Source organism: Homo sapiens, chromosome 2, assembly GCF_000001405.40.
Source record: "Homo sapiens chromosome 2, GRCh38.p14 Primary Assembly".
NCBI lineage: Eukaryota > Metazoa > Chordata > Mammalia > Primates > Hominidae > Homo > Homo sapiens.
Genome location: NC_000002.12, coordinates 74,851,867 through 74,866,701, shown reverse-complemented (window position 1 = coordinate 74,866,701; position 14,835 = coordinate 74,851,867). Strand labels below are relative to the sequence as shown.

The following is a 14,835-nucleotide window of genomic DNA, read 5'->3' as shown; positions in this document are numbered from 1 at the left end:
AAGAGGATGAGTGAGACTCCAGAAAGGAGCCACAGACACAGATGGGTGAAGACTGTCATGTGTCACTGGGAAGGTGCAGTTCCTACCCTCCAGGAAACAGCAGTGTAGACAGGAAACATCCAGATCCTGGGTGATAATACCACCGACTATGGGGAAGGGCCCCATTGTGTGGCACAGAATGAAAGTGCTGAAGAGGCGCGGAACCTGCAGCAGGGCAGGGGCTGGCGGAGCAGGCAAGGCGCATCCGCAGGTGACTGCCCCAACTGCGAGCAGCACCGCCAGTCTTCTGCTGCCCTGCCACAACCTTCTCAAAGGATACAAGGATACAAGGCAATTTCCTGGGGGGTTCACTTATTGGCATGTTTGTCAACACTCAACCCCTTTCCTGGTGGGAGAACAGCACTGAAGTGAAGCGGAATGGGTCAGAGGTCAGGGAGATGCTCTGACTCAATAACCCAAGAATGTTTGTTTTACACCCAGGTGCACTCAGCACCTCCAGCACTTAGGCCCTGAGAAAAGTCACATCTGACCAGCTCCCTGAGAACACCACCCACAGTCCCTAGGGTCCCAAGAGGGAAAACGGTAGACATCATCCACCAGAGACCACACAACCAGAAGTGTGTCAGGCGATGTGACACACGGAGACTGGCTCTGGAGCCCACATCACCTGCTCCAGAACCCCGGCCACTATTTAGCAGAGGCAAGTTCCTGAGCCTCTGAGCCTCAGCTGCTTCATCTCTAAAATGGGAACATTGCATCTCATTGGGTTGCTGTGAGGGGAAAAATTAGACACACAAGTGTGGTGCAGGACCAAGAACTCAGGACACACTCAGTAAGTACTAGGTACTCTCTCTCCGGGCTCTAGGCAGACCCTGTCCCACAGCCTCACTTGACTCTTCCAGGCCAACGAAAGCAGAAGGGATTGCAGAAACCTGTCCAAGAAAAGTCACTGGAATTGGCTCCAGTGACGGCAGCATTCCTCCTTAGGGGCACTAATTTTCCATTTCCTGCCCAGTGACTAGAGGTGGCCCCACCACTAGCTACAGCTGCGGGCTAGCTACAGCAACATCGCCCTCATCTGGGGTTAGCCTGCCTGCCTCATGGCCATGGGTGGCTTTTCCAGACACTCCAGCTCTGAGCCTTCCCTGGTAGTGGGAACTCAGCCAAATTCTAGGAAACACAACGTGGTGGCTGTCATGAGGGATGAAAGGGATATCAAAGATGAAATGCCTCATCAGCACTCTCAAGTCCAGGATACACGCGATCCGCTGAATCAGTGACCACAGGGGACCGAGGTGGCGAGGCTGCCCCTGGTGGGTCATCATCCGAGGCCAGCCCAGCTGGACTCAGAGGCCACAGCTCCACCAAGAACGGGTGGTGTGCAGGATTTTCTGATGGACTGAAGGGAAAACACAAATAATAAAGTATTGCTGATGAACCTGTTCCCAGGAAGGAGGTCCTCTCTTGCTTTGCTTACAGGACTCCTCTGGAACACACATTCCCTGACACCCCTCCTCCCTGCAGCCCTCCTCCACACACATAGGAAGCCACAACCACCATAGCCAATGACTGCATTCCTTCCAAGTCCGGAATCTGAGGCAGGCCTAGCACTGTGACTCGGCAATCCTGAGACGGGCCCTCTCGTAACGCCCACGCATGGTTACGTGCCCATGCCAGAGCAGTGGTTAGGCACTGGACCTTAGACAGGTAGGCAGGCCTCATTTTGAATTCCAGCTCAGCAGCTTCACTACCTGTGTGGTGTGGGCACATCACAGGGCTCTCTGAGCATGTCACCTCACCTGTAGAACAGGATTCATAATGCTGACATCTCCCAGCGGTTGTGATGCTTACGTGAAACATGGACTATGTTGTATGTGAACATATAGAAACACACAGGCTGGGTGTGGTGGCTCATGCTTGTATTCCCAGCACTTTGGGAGGCCAAGGCGGGCAGATTACTTGAGGTCTGGAGTTTGAGACCAGCCTGGTCAACATGGTGAAACCCTGTCTCTACTAATAATACAAAAATTTGCCGGGCATGGTGGCGTAGCCCTGTAATCCCAGTTACTTGGGAGGCTGAGGCAAGAGAATCACTAGAACCCAGGAAGTGGAGGTTGCAGTGAACTGAGATCTCGCCACTGTACCCCAGCCTGGGCAATAGAGCCAGACTCTGTCTCAAAAAAAAAACAAACAAATGACAACAACAACAAAGAAGAAACACAGTAAATTATTCCTCCGTTAATAGATCCTATCAAGGTACTTGTTCCCTTTCTCCCTGTCAAGGCCATGGAGGTTTGTGGCATGCTCTGGTGTCCAGTAAGGCAGGACAGAGGTTTGGTATAACTATAAGTTGGCATTAATTTGTGGGTGCCAAAAAATGGCATGTCCAGAGTAGCTACAACATAGGGCTCACGTGACATGGCTATAAACGCACAGCAAATACCATTGCCAAGGACTTTCTTTCGTTCTTAAGAAGGTCAGATCTGTTTCCAAAAGGGCTCTAGTGGCTCTAGTGGCACTGTGGAGGGCTGGGATAGCACAAGGAAGCAGCTCAAGGGCTGCTGCCACAGTTGAGCTGAGCAGCAGTGAGGGCATGAGCTCCAGGGCCATGTAGGGTGGCCAACCATCCCAGTTTGCCCAGGATGGAGGGGTTTCCTATGACATGGGACTTTCAATGCCAAAACTGGGAGAGGCTCAGGCAAATCAGAACACTGGACTGTATTTGATCCAACCTTAGAGCCTCTGGCTCTTCCTTGTCACTCAATGCCTGAGGCATGCAGCCGTAAACTTGGAGGTGGGTCAAAGTCACAAACGCATACTTTCACATTCAGTTCCTGAACCAGCCCTATATTTATAACTTAATGCCCCTAAAGGGACCTGCCCTTTCTGCCCTACAATATCATTTCCAGTGGCCCCAGGTAACTGCACTGAACATTCCAATCATCCTCTATGGGGTGACTCTGGGTTGAGGGGATCTTGTTTTTTTCCTTTAGTTTTCAAGCACCTGCTAGCACACAACAGTGGACTGCTCTGAGAATGTATGGCATATACTCCAAATGAAACGAGGACCGAAAAGATACATCTCCAAGTCCTAAGCAGGTAATGTAGCAAGACACAGGTCTCAAGGCACGTATTTTCCATGTACCCGGAATCGCCATGATCACTACCACACCTGGCAGCCTCTTTTTAAACCCCAGGATTCCAATTACTCCATTACAATGCAATGCCGGCCACCATTCAAGAGCTCAGCCATACAGAAGTATTCAATACTCCGTGTCATTAAAGGCACTGAATCACAGTTAACGCTGGTGTCTGGTACAGACTAGGAATGGAGTGATCTGATCTTCTACATCATTTGTTTTCAAACCATTTTAAGCAACAGAATGCTTATTTCCAAATAAAATTGGTGGGCCAAATGCCACAACGTAAAATAGAGAAAAACAGAGCTGCTCCAACTGAAGGGAGGGGTGTGGAACACGTAAAACACATGACTGGCACCCTAAAGCTCCTAGGACACCTCTTGGAATGCACCACTCTGGTGCTCTTTTTACCCAGGAAGTGTTTCTTAAGCTCAAAATACGTGCCAGTCACAGAGAGGTGTAATTAGCCCCACAGATGTGAAACCACTCTTCAAAGGGTTAAAACATGATTATGTTTCAATATTGTGTAAGCTCTGAGCATGTTCAGCTTTTTAGGCAGGCAGACCTGGGTTCAAATCCCACTCTAACATGCATTAGCCATGTGGCTTTGGGCAATTTATTAGAAATCTGACACTCAGATTTCATCATCTGTTTTAAAAGGGTAACGATAACCTCCTTCTAGTCAGCACCTCCCTCCACAACCCAGAACAAGAACACAGGAAAACACACACATATACACGCACACATACACACACGCACCTTGTCAAGATTCAGTGCAAGGAAGTGTAAGGCGTTTGGCACAACGCCTGACAATGTAAGTGCCATCTGCTGTACTGAGGCTATCTATCAGTACAATCTTCAATTTATATCGCCTGGACTACGTAAGTACCCCAATTAACTTGCTGTGTGCTAGCTCTGGATGTATGTCTCCGCTGTACAGTTGTTAATATAATGCAGAGCAACCAAGATAAGGGCTTCCTTCAGGTTTAACCAGCTTCCATGCAACGTATCACCAGCCCGGTCTCCCTTTATCACATCATGTGCTTGCATTATATGGCCCGATATCTCTAATTGTTTTGTCTACATGGGCCTTATCTCCCCAGCACAACTTTCACTCTTTAAAGGGCACGAGGCAGCTTAGCACACTGCTGCTGCACAGAGGACCAAGCCTCGGAGAGGACTGTTGAATGAGCTGAACAGCTAGGCCTAGGTTAGTAAGAGAAGAATCCACACATTGTGCTAGCAGCACAGCACCAATGTGCCACTGGTGGTGTGCTTAAAAGCCCAGGCATTAGCAATTTGGCTGGCCAAGTTCCAATCCCAATGCTGCCACTTGCTCACTGTGACTTTGGGCAAGTTGCCTAATTGCTCCAAATCTATTGCCTTTTTCTGTAAAGTGAAGTTCAGCGTACCTACCACTGGATGACTGTAAGAAATGATGAGATAGCTCAAACACAGCGTTCAGCACAGTACCTGGCACTAACGATGTCTACAATTTTTATCATCATCATCATCACCGTCACCATCAGCATCATGGTTCCCTGCTCTCTAGAGGGTTTAAGTCTGGCTAGAGGATGGAGGTATACTTACCTGTGAACATAATTCACAATTCCGAGGTGAAGAAGAGTCAAATGATCGATCTGACACTGCCTTACCCTCACTCTGTCTCATAAGGCATAGTTATAACCAAACGATCTTGCCAAGACAAGGGTGATAAAGGCACCACAGTTACTTCATTTCTAAGTTAGAACATGCGGCTGGCACATTTTCAGTTGGGTTGTACTTGAGCTTCTTATTGGAATGATACAAAGCCAACTCGTATTTAGGATCCATTTAAAAAGATAATCATCTGATTTTCCCTAGAAACTTTGGTTCAGCAGTACAAGCCAATGTAAACTGTGAATCTTATGGCCGTGGAGTCAGGACTATCTATGCTTACATCCCAACTGTCACCATCTGCCCACAGGTGACCTTGGCAGCCATCAATCCTTTTTTAGCCTTGGTTGCCTCATTTTTAAAGTGAGAATGACTCTCTTGTAAAGTTTTTGTGGAGAGTAAAACAGATTTATGTAAATGGCCTAGTACAGACACCATGGGTGCTCATTAAATGCTATCAATTCTTCCTGCATTCCCTTTTTTTTTTTTTCGGAGTCTCACTCTGTCGCCCAGGCTGGAGTGCAGCAGCATGATCTCAGCTCACTGCAACCTCTGCCTCCCAGATTCAAGCGATTCTCGTGTCTCAGCCCCCCAGTAGCTGGGATTACAGGTCCATGCCACCACAACCGGCTAATTTTTTATATTTTTAGTAGAGATGGGGTTTCAACATGTTGGCCAGGCTGGTCCTGACCTCAAGTGATCCACCCACCTTGGCCTCCCAAAGTGTTAGGATTACAGGCGTAAGCCACCGTGCCCGACCCCTGCATTCCCTTTTAAAATGGAACTGTCCTCTGAAAGCCAGGCCCCTATGTGTGGCCCCTATGTGTGTGGTGGGGCCCCTGACAGAACTGCGTTAGGGCTGGTACCACAGTCACACGCAGGGTTGTGGCACAGATTAGGGCTGCCTACAGAGAGGTCAAGATGGTGTGTTTCCTAGCAAACGCAAATGAATGCTTTCTTTAATTAACTCTCCACTGAAAAAAAGAAACAAGGACATACAGACAACAAATGCTATTGAGGATATGGAGCAGGCAGAGCTCTCATACATTATTAGTGGGAGTATAAATGGTTCAACAATTTGGGGGAAATGTCTGGCAGTTTCTAAAAATTAAACATATACCAAATTCTATGAATGACCCAGTAATTCCACTCCTAGTTGTTTATACAAGGAACTAAAAACGTGTCCACAAAAGGGCTTGTGCAATAATGTTCATAGCAGCTTTACTCAAATAGCCAAAAACTGGAAACTGCCCGGGTGTCCATCAATATTCATATCAGATTCTAATCATACCATGGAATCAGCAGCCAAAAGGAACGAGACACTGATAGACACAACACAGATAAATCCCACATTATGACAAATAAAAAAAGACTTGCATAAAAAACAAATACTGTGTGAGTCGATTTATATGTGAAGTTCTGGAACAGGCAAAACTCACATATGTGGAAAATAGTAGAATGTGATTGCCTCTGGGGGGATCAGGTACAGGGATTGACTGGGAAGGGGCTCAAGGTAACTTTCTGGGGTGATGGTAATGTTCTGTATCTTGATGGAGGTTTTTTTTAGTTGTTTAAATTTATGAGGTGCAAACATAATTTTGTTACATGGATATACTGCACAATGGTGAAGTGAGGGCTTTTAGTGTATCCAACACCCACTACATCCGTTAAGTAATTTCTCATCATCCACACCACCCCCCACCCTCCTACCCTCATGCCCCCCACCCTCCTACCCTCACCCTTCCAAGTCTCCATGGTCTATCATTCCACTTTCTATGTCCATGTGGACACACTGTTTAGCTCCCACTTATAAGTGAAAACGTGCGGTATTTGTCTGTTTTGGAGCTGTTTCACTTAAAATAACAGCCTCCAGTTCCATCCATGATGCTGCAAAATACATTATTTCATTCTATTTTAAGACTGAACAGTATTCTATTATGTATATATACCACAGTTTCTTTATCCAATCATCTGTCCATTGATGGGCATCGACTCCACATCTTTGCTATTGTGAATGGTGCTGTGATAAACATACAAGTGCAGGCATCTTTTTGGTATGATTTCTTTTCCTTTGGGTAGATACTCAATAGTGAGATTGCTGGATGGAATGGCAGTTCTATTTTTAGTTCTTTGAGAAATCTCCATACTGTTTTCCATAGAGGATGTACTTATTTACATTCCCACCAACAGTGTATAAGCATTCCCTTTTCTGATGGAGGTTGTATTAAACAGGTGTATTTGTCAATTCATCAGATAATACTCTTTTTTTTTGAGATGGAGTCTCGCTCTGTGGCCCAGGCTGGAATGCTCTGCCTCCCGGGTTCACACCATTCTTCCTGCTTCAGCCGCCTGCCACCACGCCTGGCTAATTTTTTGTATTTTTAGTAGAGACAGGGTTTCACCGTGTTAGCCAGGATGATCTCGATCTCCTGACCTTGTGATCTGCCCGCCTCAGCCTCCCAAAGTGCTGGGATTGCAGGCATGAGACACCATGCCCGGCCTTCTATTTATTTTTTTATCAGATAATACTCTTAAGATTTATTTCACTTCATCTAGATCTTACATCACAAGAAAATACAGCAAATATTGAACTCTAGTTACTATGTAAGTATACGTCTGAACCCTAAAACTTCAGCATACATAGTAACTAGAGTTCAGTATTAGTATTTACTATACTTTCTCAGCAATTTATGTTTTGTAATGCATCAATTATAACAAGCTGGACTGATGGATAGAAGGATTGGGGGGTTGATAAAGCAAACCAAGTAAAATATAGATGACCACTATAGAATTCTTTCAACTTCTTAAAACTGTTTGGGAAAGAAGCAAAACGACAAATAGAGACCATTTTTAATGTATTCTGGCTGACACCAAATTCAGTCATTGAGTAAGACATTCCTGGACCGTTTATGTCTATTGCACTTTTAATTATGCCAACTGTGTTTCTTCACACTGTGTAGGCCACACAACCTATGAAGCACAGGTACTTCACGATTTACCTTGAACATTTCACCCCTACGGGGTTCAGTGGCTACTGACATTCCCTGCCTTCTCACACAAGAGCCCATAAGCCGTGATGGGGAGGCCTCCACCACAAATAAATGGCCTGAAACTTTCTGGTTTCTCCACATTTTCTAATAGGACTTTGATTACAATTAGATAATTGGAGCTGGTATAAGAGCTGGGGCCTGGTCTTCACTCCAAAATGCAGGGCCCCTGGTGATGGGGATGAACCCTCACACCTGCTCCCTTGATGCCAATCTTCCAAAATTAAAACCTGGGAGTCTTACACACCTTTTCTTAGTAAATTTGGCAATGAGAGTGCCTTTTGCAGTGGTGGTTTGTGGCTGCAGGAGTGTTTGTAACACATGTGAGAAAGTCACATATCTGATTCTCCCTTAATTCTCAGAAAACCGATCCCCCTGAAGTTTCCCCTTTTCACAAATGAGGAAATAGAGGATCACATCATAAATCGCTCTGAAGCACACAGCTTGAATTCAAACCCATTTGAACCTATAATTCTGATTCTCACCTCTCACCCCACACTGTCCTGAAACTACATATTTCGTGCCAGCAAGAAAGGAAATGCTCATCTAGAATCAAACTGGGCCAAGGATCATTTAAGGCAGTGGCTTTCAAACTGCAAAGTGAAAAACATTTAGCAGGTTCTGACTAGCAACTTTCTTAAAGAATAGAAGACAAACCCAACTTCATCATGTTTAAGAATAAATTCTGGTCCCCAAATTTATTTCCTTTCATATAAATATTTATATGCATGTGTTTCTTGCTGTGAAGATATAGCCCAGAAAAGTTAGAAAGCTATGGATTTAAAAATTGGCTCCCTCTAGATCTGGGGTTTGGTTTCTCAGGTTTGAAAAGAATACTAGCCATGAACGGGCTGAGAAACGAATGTTCTGAGAAAGGTGGCACTGAACAGGTGCCCCTGGAGAAAAGGCCTCGAGCCTTCTGTGGGAGAGGGATGCAGCTTCACCCCCAGCAGCAGCGGCAGGCACCCAGGCTGTGTGCGACCACATGGGGGGAATCGCTAACACAACTTCACCTCGGCCTTTCCTCGCAGCACTTCACTGGGGTGCTGACAATAGAGAATTTTCATTTTTGATAGTCTGTATCAACTTAGGAGTCACCTATTTTCACTGCCATATTCCATAACTCATACCCCCAACTGACAAAGCAAAACTTGAGAGCCCTGATGCTGACCACTTTATTTTTTTTAAATTTATCTATTTTTGTTTGTTTTTTGAGACAGAGTCTCATGCTGTCACCCAGGCTGGAGTGCAGTGGCGCAACTTCGGCTCACTGCAACCTCCATCTCCCAGGTTCAGGTGATTGATTCTCTCTGCCTCGGCCTCCTGAGTAGCTGGGATTATAGGTGCGATTAAGCAACACTGTAATGAACATTATTCAGCCATGTCTCCTTGGATTCATACAGGAGTCTGTTCAGGGCATATAGTTGGAAGTGGAATTGCTGAGTTGTCATATATACATATGTCCCACTTTACAGCAACACAAAAATGAACTAAGACACCATCCAATGAACACCAAGGGTTTATCTCCCATTACAGGATCTCAGAAGTGTTTGTGTGAATAGACTAGCACAATAGTTCTAGTAGATGTGCAGAACAGACTAGAACTGCTAGGTCCAACCTCTTTACTTTACAAAAGCAAAGGCTGAGTCCCAGAGAGTATGGAGGTGAGGAGCTAACCTATGGACCCCCTGCAAATGCGGAGGGAGGGATTAGGTGTGGGTTTCCTGCAATCTGGTCTCCATTATTCCAGGGGCCACTTCCTTTGTTTCAGTGAGTAAGACATTCCAGTATGTGCTGCAAACAGTGCAAGCTTCAAGGTGCATGGGAGGTCTTGGAGCCTCCAGCTTCAGGAAAGCAATGAGAATTTTGAAAGCTTGCCCCATAATTAGTTCTCCCCAACAAACTTAATTCACCTGCCTATAATACAGTCCAAACAATCAGTCCCAACTCCGTTCCAAAAAAATTTTAGTTGAGCATTTGCAGTGTGCTCCAGCGCCAAGTGCACAGGCTAACACATACATGAACACATATAACACATCACGTGCAGTACCGATGCCTGAACTTTGGCTTACACAAGCTTGATTCCTAACTCGGCCTCCCACTGGCTGTAGGATTTTGGACAACTTGTTTGACATTTGAACCTCAAATTCCTCATCTAAAAATTGTGGATAAAATTTGTACTTACCATAAAGGTTTTTGAAAAGTAAATGAGTTAATACATTGAGGTGCCCAAAAGAGTCCTTAGCCCATATGTATTTAGAAAAGATTTAGGGTACTTACTTAGTGTTAGTGCTGGGTGAAATAAAGACAAGGCCCTGGCCTTCCGGAGTGTGTACATTTATCTGAATGTCAAATAAAAATCTCAGAAGTGGGTGTGGTTTCCAGTCAGAGGGAGTGGTAGGTAAACATGCCAATCTAGAGGACATGGAAGAGATAAGAGGCCCCTCACCTCGAGGGGCTCTTTGAAGGGCCAAGAAACACACTCAGGAAACAATCCTAAGCAAGGTCATACCCTCAGCACTGGGTCCAGGCTGGGTCCCAAGGCTTCAGCAAACACTTACTTATTTTGGGAACGATACAGTCTCAGACGAACCAGGTCCCTAGAGGCACTTAGGGAGATGAGCCTCAAGGACACACATGTGCTGGAAACAGCACAGGCGCGTGGCATTAACAAGCCCTGACCCACGCCCTGCCCCTACTCCCCTCCCAACAACGCCCCTGTAGATGCCTCACCAGCGACCTGCCAGCTTCCTGGAGATCTCGTCCCCCTTAGATTCTTGGACACTGTGCCTCCTGGTTCTTCCTCTGCCCTGGCAGCTGCCCCTTGGGTTCTCTCTCCTGTCCTCTAGATGTGAGTACCTACCCCCCACCCACCACCCGTCATGGGCCTCACAAGCACCTCATCTCTAAAATGGAGGCACCTATTATGAGGATTAAATAAAAGCTCTGACACAACTTTGTTCGGTCCCCTTCTCTGGGATGTTGCCATTCCCAGGCAGCTGGGCTCAACAGCCGGGCCCCACCCTTGAATACTCTTTTTGCCCACCCACCAGAGCCATGTCTTGTGCTCTACCAGCTGGGCCTCGCTCCCCCTCCACTCTACCTATACTGCCAATGATGTAACATTACCAAGACACCCCTCAAAACCTTGCATTTACTCCCCAATGCTACTGCAGAGATTAAATGTTTTAGGCTTGCATTCAAGGCCTTCAGTGACCTAGCCCTAATCCACTGGACCTTTCCAACTTGAATCTCCACCGTGATCCTTTTTCCCCTGCCTGATTAAATCACTTGCTGGGTGGTGTACCATAAAATAAGGATTCTGGGCTGGGTGCGGTAGCCACGCCTGTAATCCCAGCACTTTGGGAGGCCGAGGTGGGCGGGTACGAGGTCAAAAGATATAGACCATTCTGGCTAATGGAGATCACGCCACTGCGCTCTAGCCTGGGTGACAGAGCGAGACTCCATCTCAAAAAAAAGTACTCTGTATCCAAATAAGATGATTAAACAAAGCTTAATAGGTTTGTATTGCAGGACTTCTGAGCCTTTAATTCCTTAATATGCACTGTGGCAGCGGGCGCGGTAGCTGTAATCCTAGCACTTTGGGAGGCTGAAGCGGGCGGATCACCTGAGGTCAGGAGTTCGAGACCAACCTGACCAACATGAGAAACCCCATCTCTACTAAAAATACAAAATTAGCCGGGCTTGGTGGCACATGCCTGTAATCCCAGCTACTCCAGAGGGTGAGGCAGGAGAATCACTTGAACCCAGGAGGCGGAGGTTGCGGTGAGCCGAGATCGCATCATTGCACGCCAGCCTGGGCAACAAGAGTGAAACTGTCTCAAAAAAATATATATATATGCACTGTGACGCTCCATACTTTGTCCAAGTCTATTTGGATTTCTAGTACTTTTTACATGGGGCTCAAGAAAAAAATCTAGGTCAATCTGCACTACACTGTCCCTCCCACATGCCTACACGGCGTCCGGCGTCCCAGTTAGAGCATGCACAGGTGAGCCACAGAGCGGCTCCCACGGCCTACAGTTGTGGCCACGTGAGGTACGTTTGTTGTAGTTCATCACCATCACTGCGTGCAATCTCAGTGGGACCATAAAATGCCAAACTGAGCCAAGCAGCCTTTCTCAGCACACAGGTAGAAAACAAATGGCCAACAGTGATGCCACAGTAGGGCTGACAAAGGTGCCCTCCCTTAACTGCCAGGACTGCCAGCTTTTCCCAAGCTTCCTGTCCATCCGTCACACAGCCTTCCATTCAATTCCCTGGATGCTTCCCTTAGCCAGGGTTGGTTTCTGAGGCTTTTGAGTTATTTGGGTCCCTGAGCAAAGCCAACTAAATCACCCCTGAGTAACGCAGCAGCTAGAGCCATCCCCCAGATGCAGTACCTGTCCCATCTGGAGTGGACCTCACAAAGGTGGGCAGCATCTTCACTGCTGCAGTAGGGTGAGTGGTGGCTCCAAGCCCTTTCTCCATCTCCTTGCGGAACCGCTTAGAGATCTCCAAGAGGGTCTCATCAGAGAGGCGCATGTGGTAGAGATACTGGTCAACCTGAAAAAGGAGGAAGACAAGAGCAGAAACCACTGGTTAAATAAATTATGGCATAGGTGTACGTCATGGAACACCACTCAGCTCTTCAAAAGAACAAAATCTGTTATGTACAGAAAGTTATTATTAAAGACCATTAGTAGGAACCGATTTGACAGGACTTTGTCTTAAAAAAAAAAAACCAAAAAATTAAAATTATAAAAATAGACCTAATTTTTGGAGAACTGGTGCATACCTGAGGAAAGGCCTATTAGGACAGAGGAGAGTTCTTTTCAGAATGGTTGAGTCGGAAGGCCTGTGACAACATCACTGGAGCCAGGGTTCATTACCCTCATCTCTTGTTCCCCCAGCACCTGACATGGCCAGTCACAGCAATCCCATTGCCCCTCACCCTAGGCCAGGTAGCCATCACCTTTTTCCCGGACGCCTACAATCCCCAGTTCCGCTTTTACCTCTTCCATCCACTTTCCACACCCAGCCAGACTCCGCTGATCCCCGGCTTTCAGGGCTTTCCATTGGAACAAAGCTCAAAATCCTTTCAGGGCCCCACATGATCGGGCCTCTAGCCACCTCCTAATCTTTTTATCTTTTTTTTTTTTGACAGGGTATCGCTCCAGTTGTCCAGGCTGGAGTGCAGTGATGAGATCTCAGCCAGCCTCAGGTGATCCTCCCACCTCAGCCTCCTGAGCAGCTGGGACTTTCAGGCACGTGCCACCATGTCTGGCTAATTTTGTTGTTGTTGTTGTTGTTGTTGTTGTTGTTGTTGTTGTTGTTGTTTTGAGGCTGAGTCTCACCCTGTCACCCAGGCTGGAGTAGAGTGGCGCAATCTCGACTCACTGCAACCTCTGCCTCCCGGGTTCAAGCAATTCTAGTGCCTCAGCCTCCCGAGTAGCTGGGATTACAGCGGTGCACCACCACACCCAGCTAATTTTTGTATTTTTAGCAGAGACAGGGTTTCACCATGTTGTCTAGGCTGGTCTCAAACTCCTGGACTCAAGCTATCCACCTGCCTCGGCCTCCCAAAGTGCTGGGATTAAAGGAGCGAGCCACCACACCCGGCCCCACCTCCTAATCTTATGGTAAGGTCTGGACTCTTTGTGTAGATTCTCTCCCTGGTTCAGTTCCCCAACTTCCCCAACTTGCCCATCCCTGCCTTGGAGCTCACACACACAGGCCCTCCAGGTACATGCCCTGACGATCTGCTACCACTCCTTCAGGCCTCTCTCTGTAGAGGCCTCTTCTCATCCTCCAGATCACAACAGCCAGGCCTCCCTGTTATTCTAAGAACTTGAGCTTTTCCCTTCGCAACACTATCCACAATTTGGAACTAAATATTTATTAGGGTCCAAATCATAAGTACCAAAGGCTAGAACAATGTCTGCTTGTTCACCTTTGCATACCTGGAGGCTGGCACGGTGCCTGGCACAATGGAGAGGCTCTATGTAAATGATAATGCAGCCTCTGTGCTCATGCGGAGGCAACTCTCCCTAGTTCTTTCACTGATCCTGTTTCCCACATAAATTCACATGAACTTTTCCCAGATTTAATACCAGGAGAATGAGAAGCATCAGATAACTCTCACTCGTTTTTTGTTGTTTTTTTTTTTTAATCTTTTAATTGTTATTTTTGAGACAGGGTCTTGCTATATTGCCCAGCTTGTTTCCAACTCCTGGAATCTACCACAACCTCCAGGGCTGTGGGGCACTAGCCCCCCACCCTCCATCCCACAAGCTGGGTCTCTGATCTCTGGTTCCTACAATATCTGGGAACCAAGGTGCTCCTGAGGAGGCCTGGGCCTCCCCAACAAGGACATTTGAGGCTCCCCAGGAGGAAAAAGGGTGCAGCTTCAGCCTGACACTAGACAAGGCCCCTTTCTTTTCAGTGAAGTGTCAGACAAATCTCTAGCCATCTCCAGTGACCCTAGTTCAAGGGTAACTCTGACCACCCTGGAGGCTTCCCACTCCAGATCCAATGAGACACTGACTGGCCCAGGAATGCTACATTACAACTTTCACATCTCAGGGCTAATGTGCAAAGTCTGGGGCTACCCAGACCAGAAGCCAATGCGAGGCCACATCCAGGAAAAGCCTGAGATGTCCTCATGGGCAACTGTAATAATGGCAAGCCCTCACGTGGCTCCTGCTTTGTGCCAGATCCTATTCTCCGGGTTTGCTCCCATTAGTTCATTTCATCCTTAGAACAGCCCTCTGAGGTAGGAAGTGCCAGCATCTCTATTCTACAGAGAGGGGAAGTCACACAGACACGAGGGGCCACGTTTGGCTTGATAGAGAAGTTTGGCTGGTCTGTGCTCTTGTCCACTCTGCTAGATGACTGCCCCCTGCCTGCCTGGATACAGCAGGGTCTATACAGGTCAAACAGCATTGCAGGGAATGCAGGCTGTCCATATCCATTAAAAGGCCATCTTCTAT

At 47.0% G+C, this 14,835-nt stretch overlaps 1 protein-coding gene across 7 annotated transcripts in view, besides 1 other annotated feature; it reads right to left on the bottom strand.

Moving 5' to 3' along the window:
- The window catches only part of HK2 (hexokinase 2), a 59,233-nt gene that overhangs the window by 26,658 nt on the left and 17,740 nt on the right, over positions 1 to 14,835 (bottom strand). For all 7 annotated transcript variants that reach the window (XM_005264280.3, NM_000189.5, XM_011532807.3 and 4 more), the window contains exon 2: positions 12,247 to 12,409. In XM_005264280.3, the coding sequence (XP_005264337.1) occupies positions 12,247 to 12,409 (163 nt within the window). The remainder of the gene's footprint in view (positions 1 to 12,246; positions 12,410 to 14,835) is intronic.
- Positions 10,517 to 11,057: an enhancer, noted in NCBI's record as "H3K27ac-H3K4me1 hESC enhancer chr2:75082772-75083312 (GRCh37/hg19 assembly coordinates)". NCBI's record gives its function as "activates a minimal SCP1, AML or CMV promoter by ChIP-STARR-seq in naive H9 embryonic stem cells {active_cell/tissue: H9 hESC(naive)}" and the evidence as "EXISTENCE:reporter gene assay evidence [ECO:0000049][PMID:30033119]".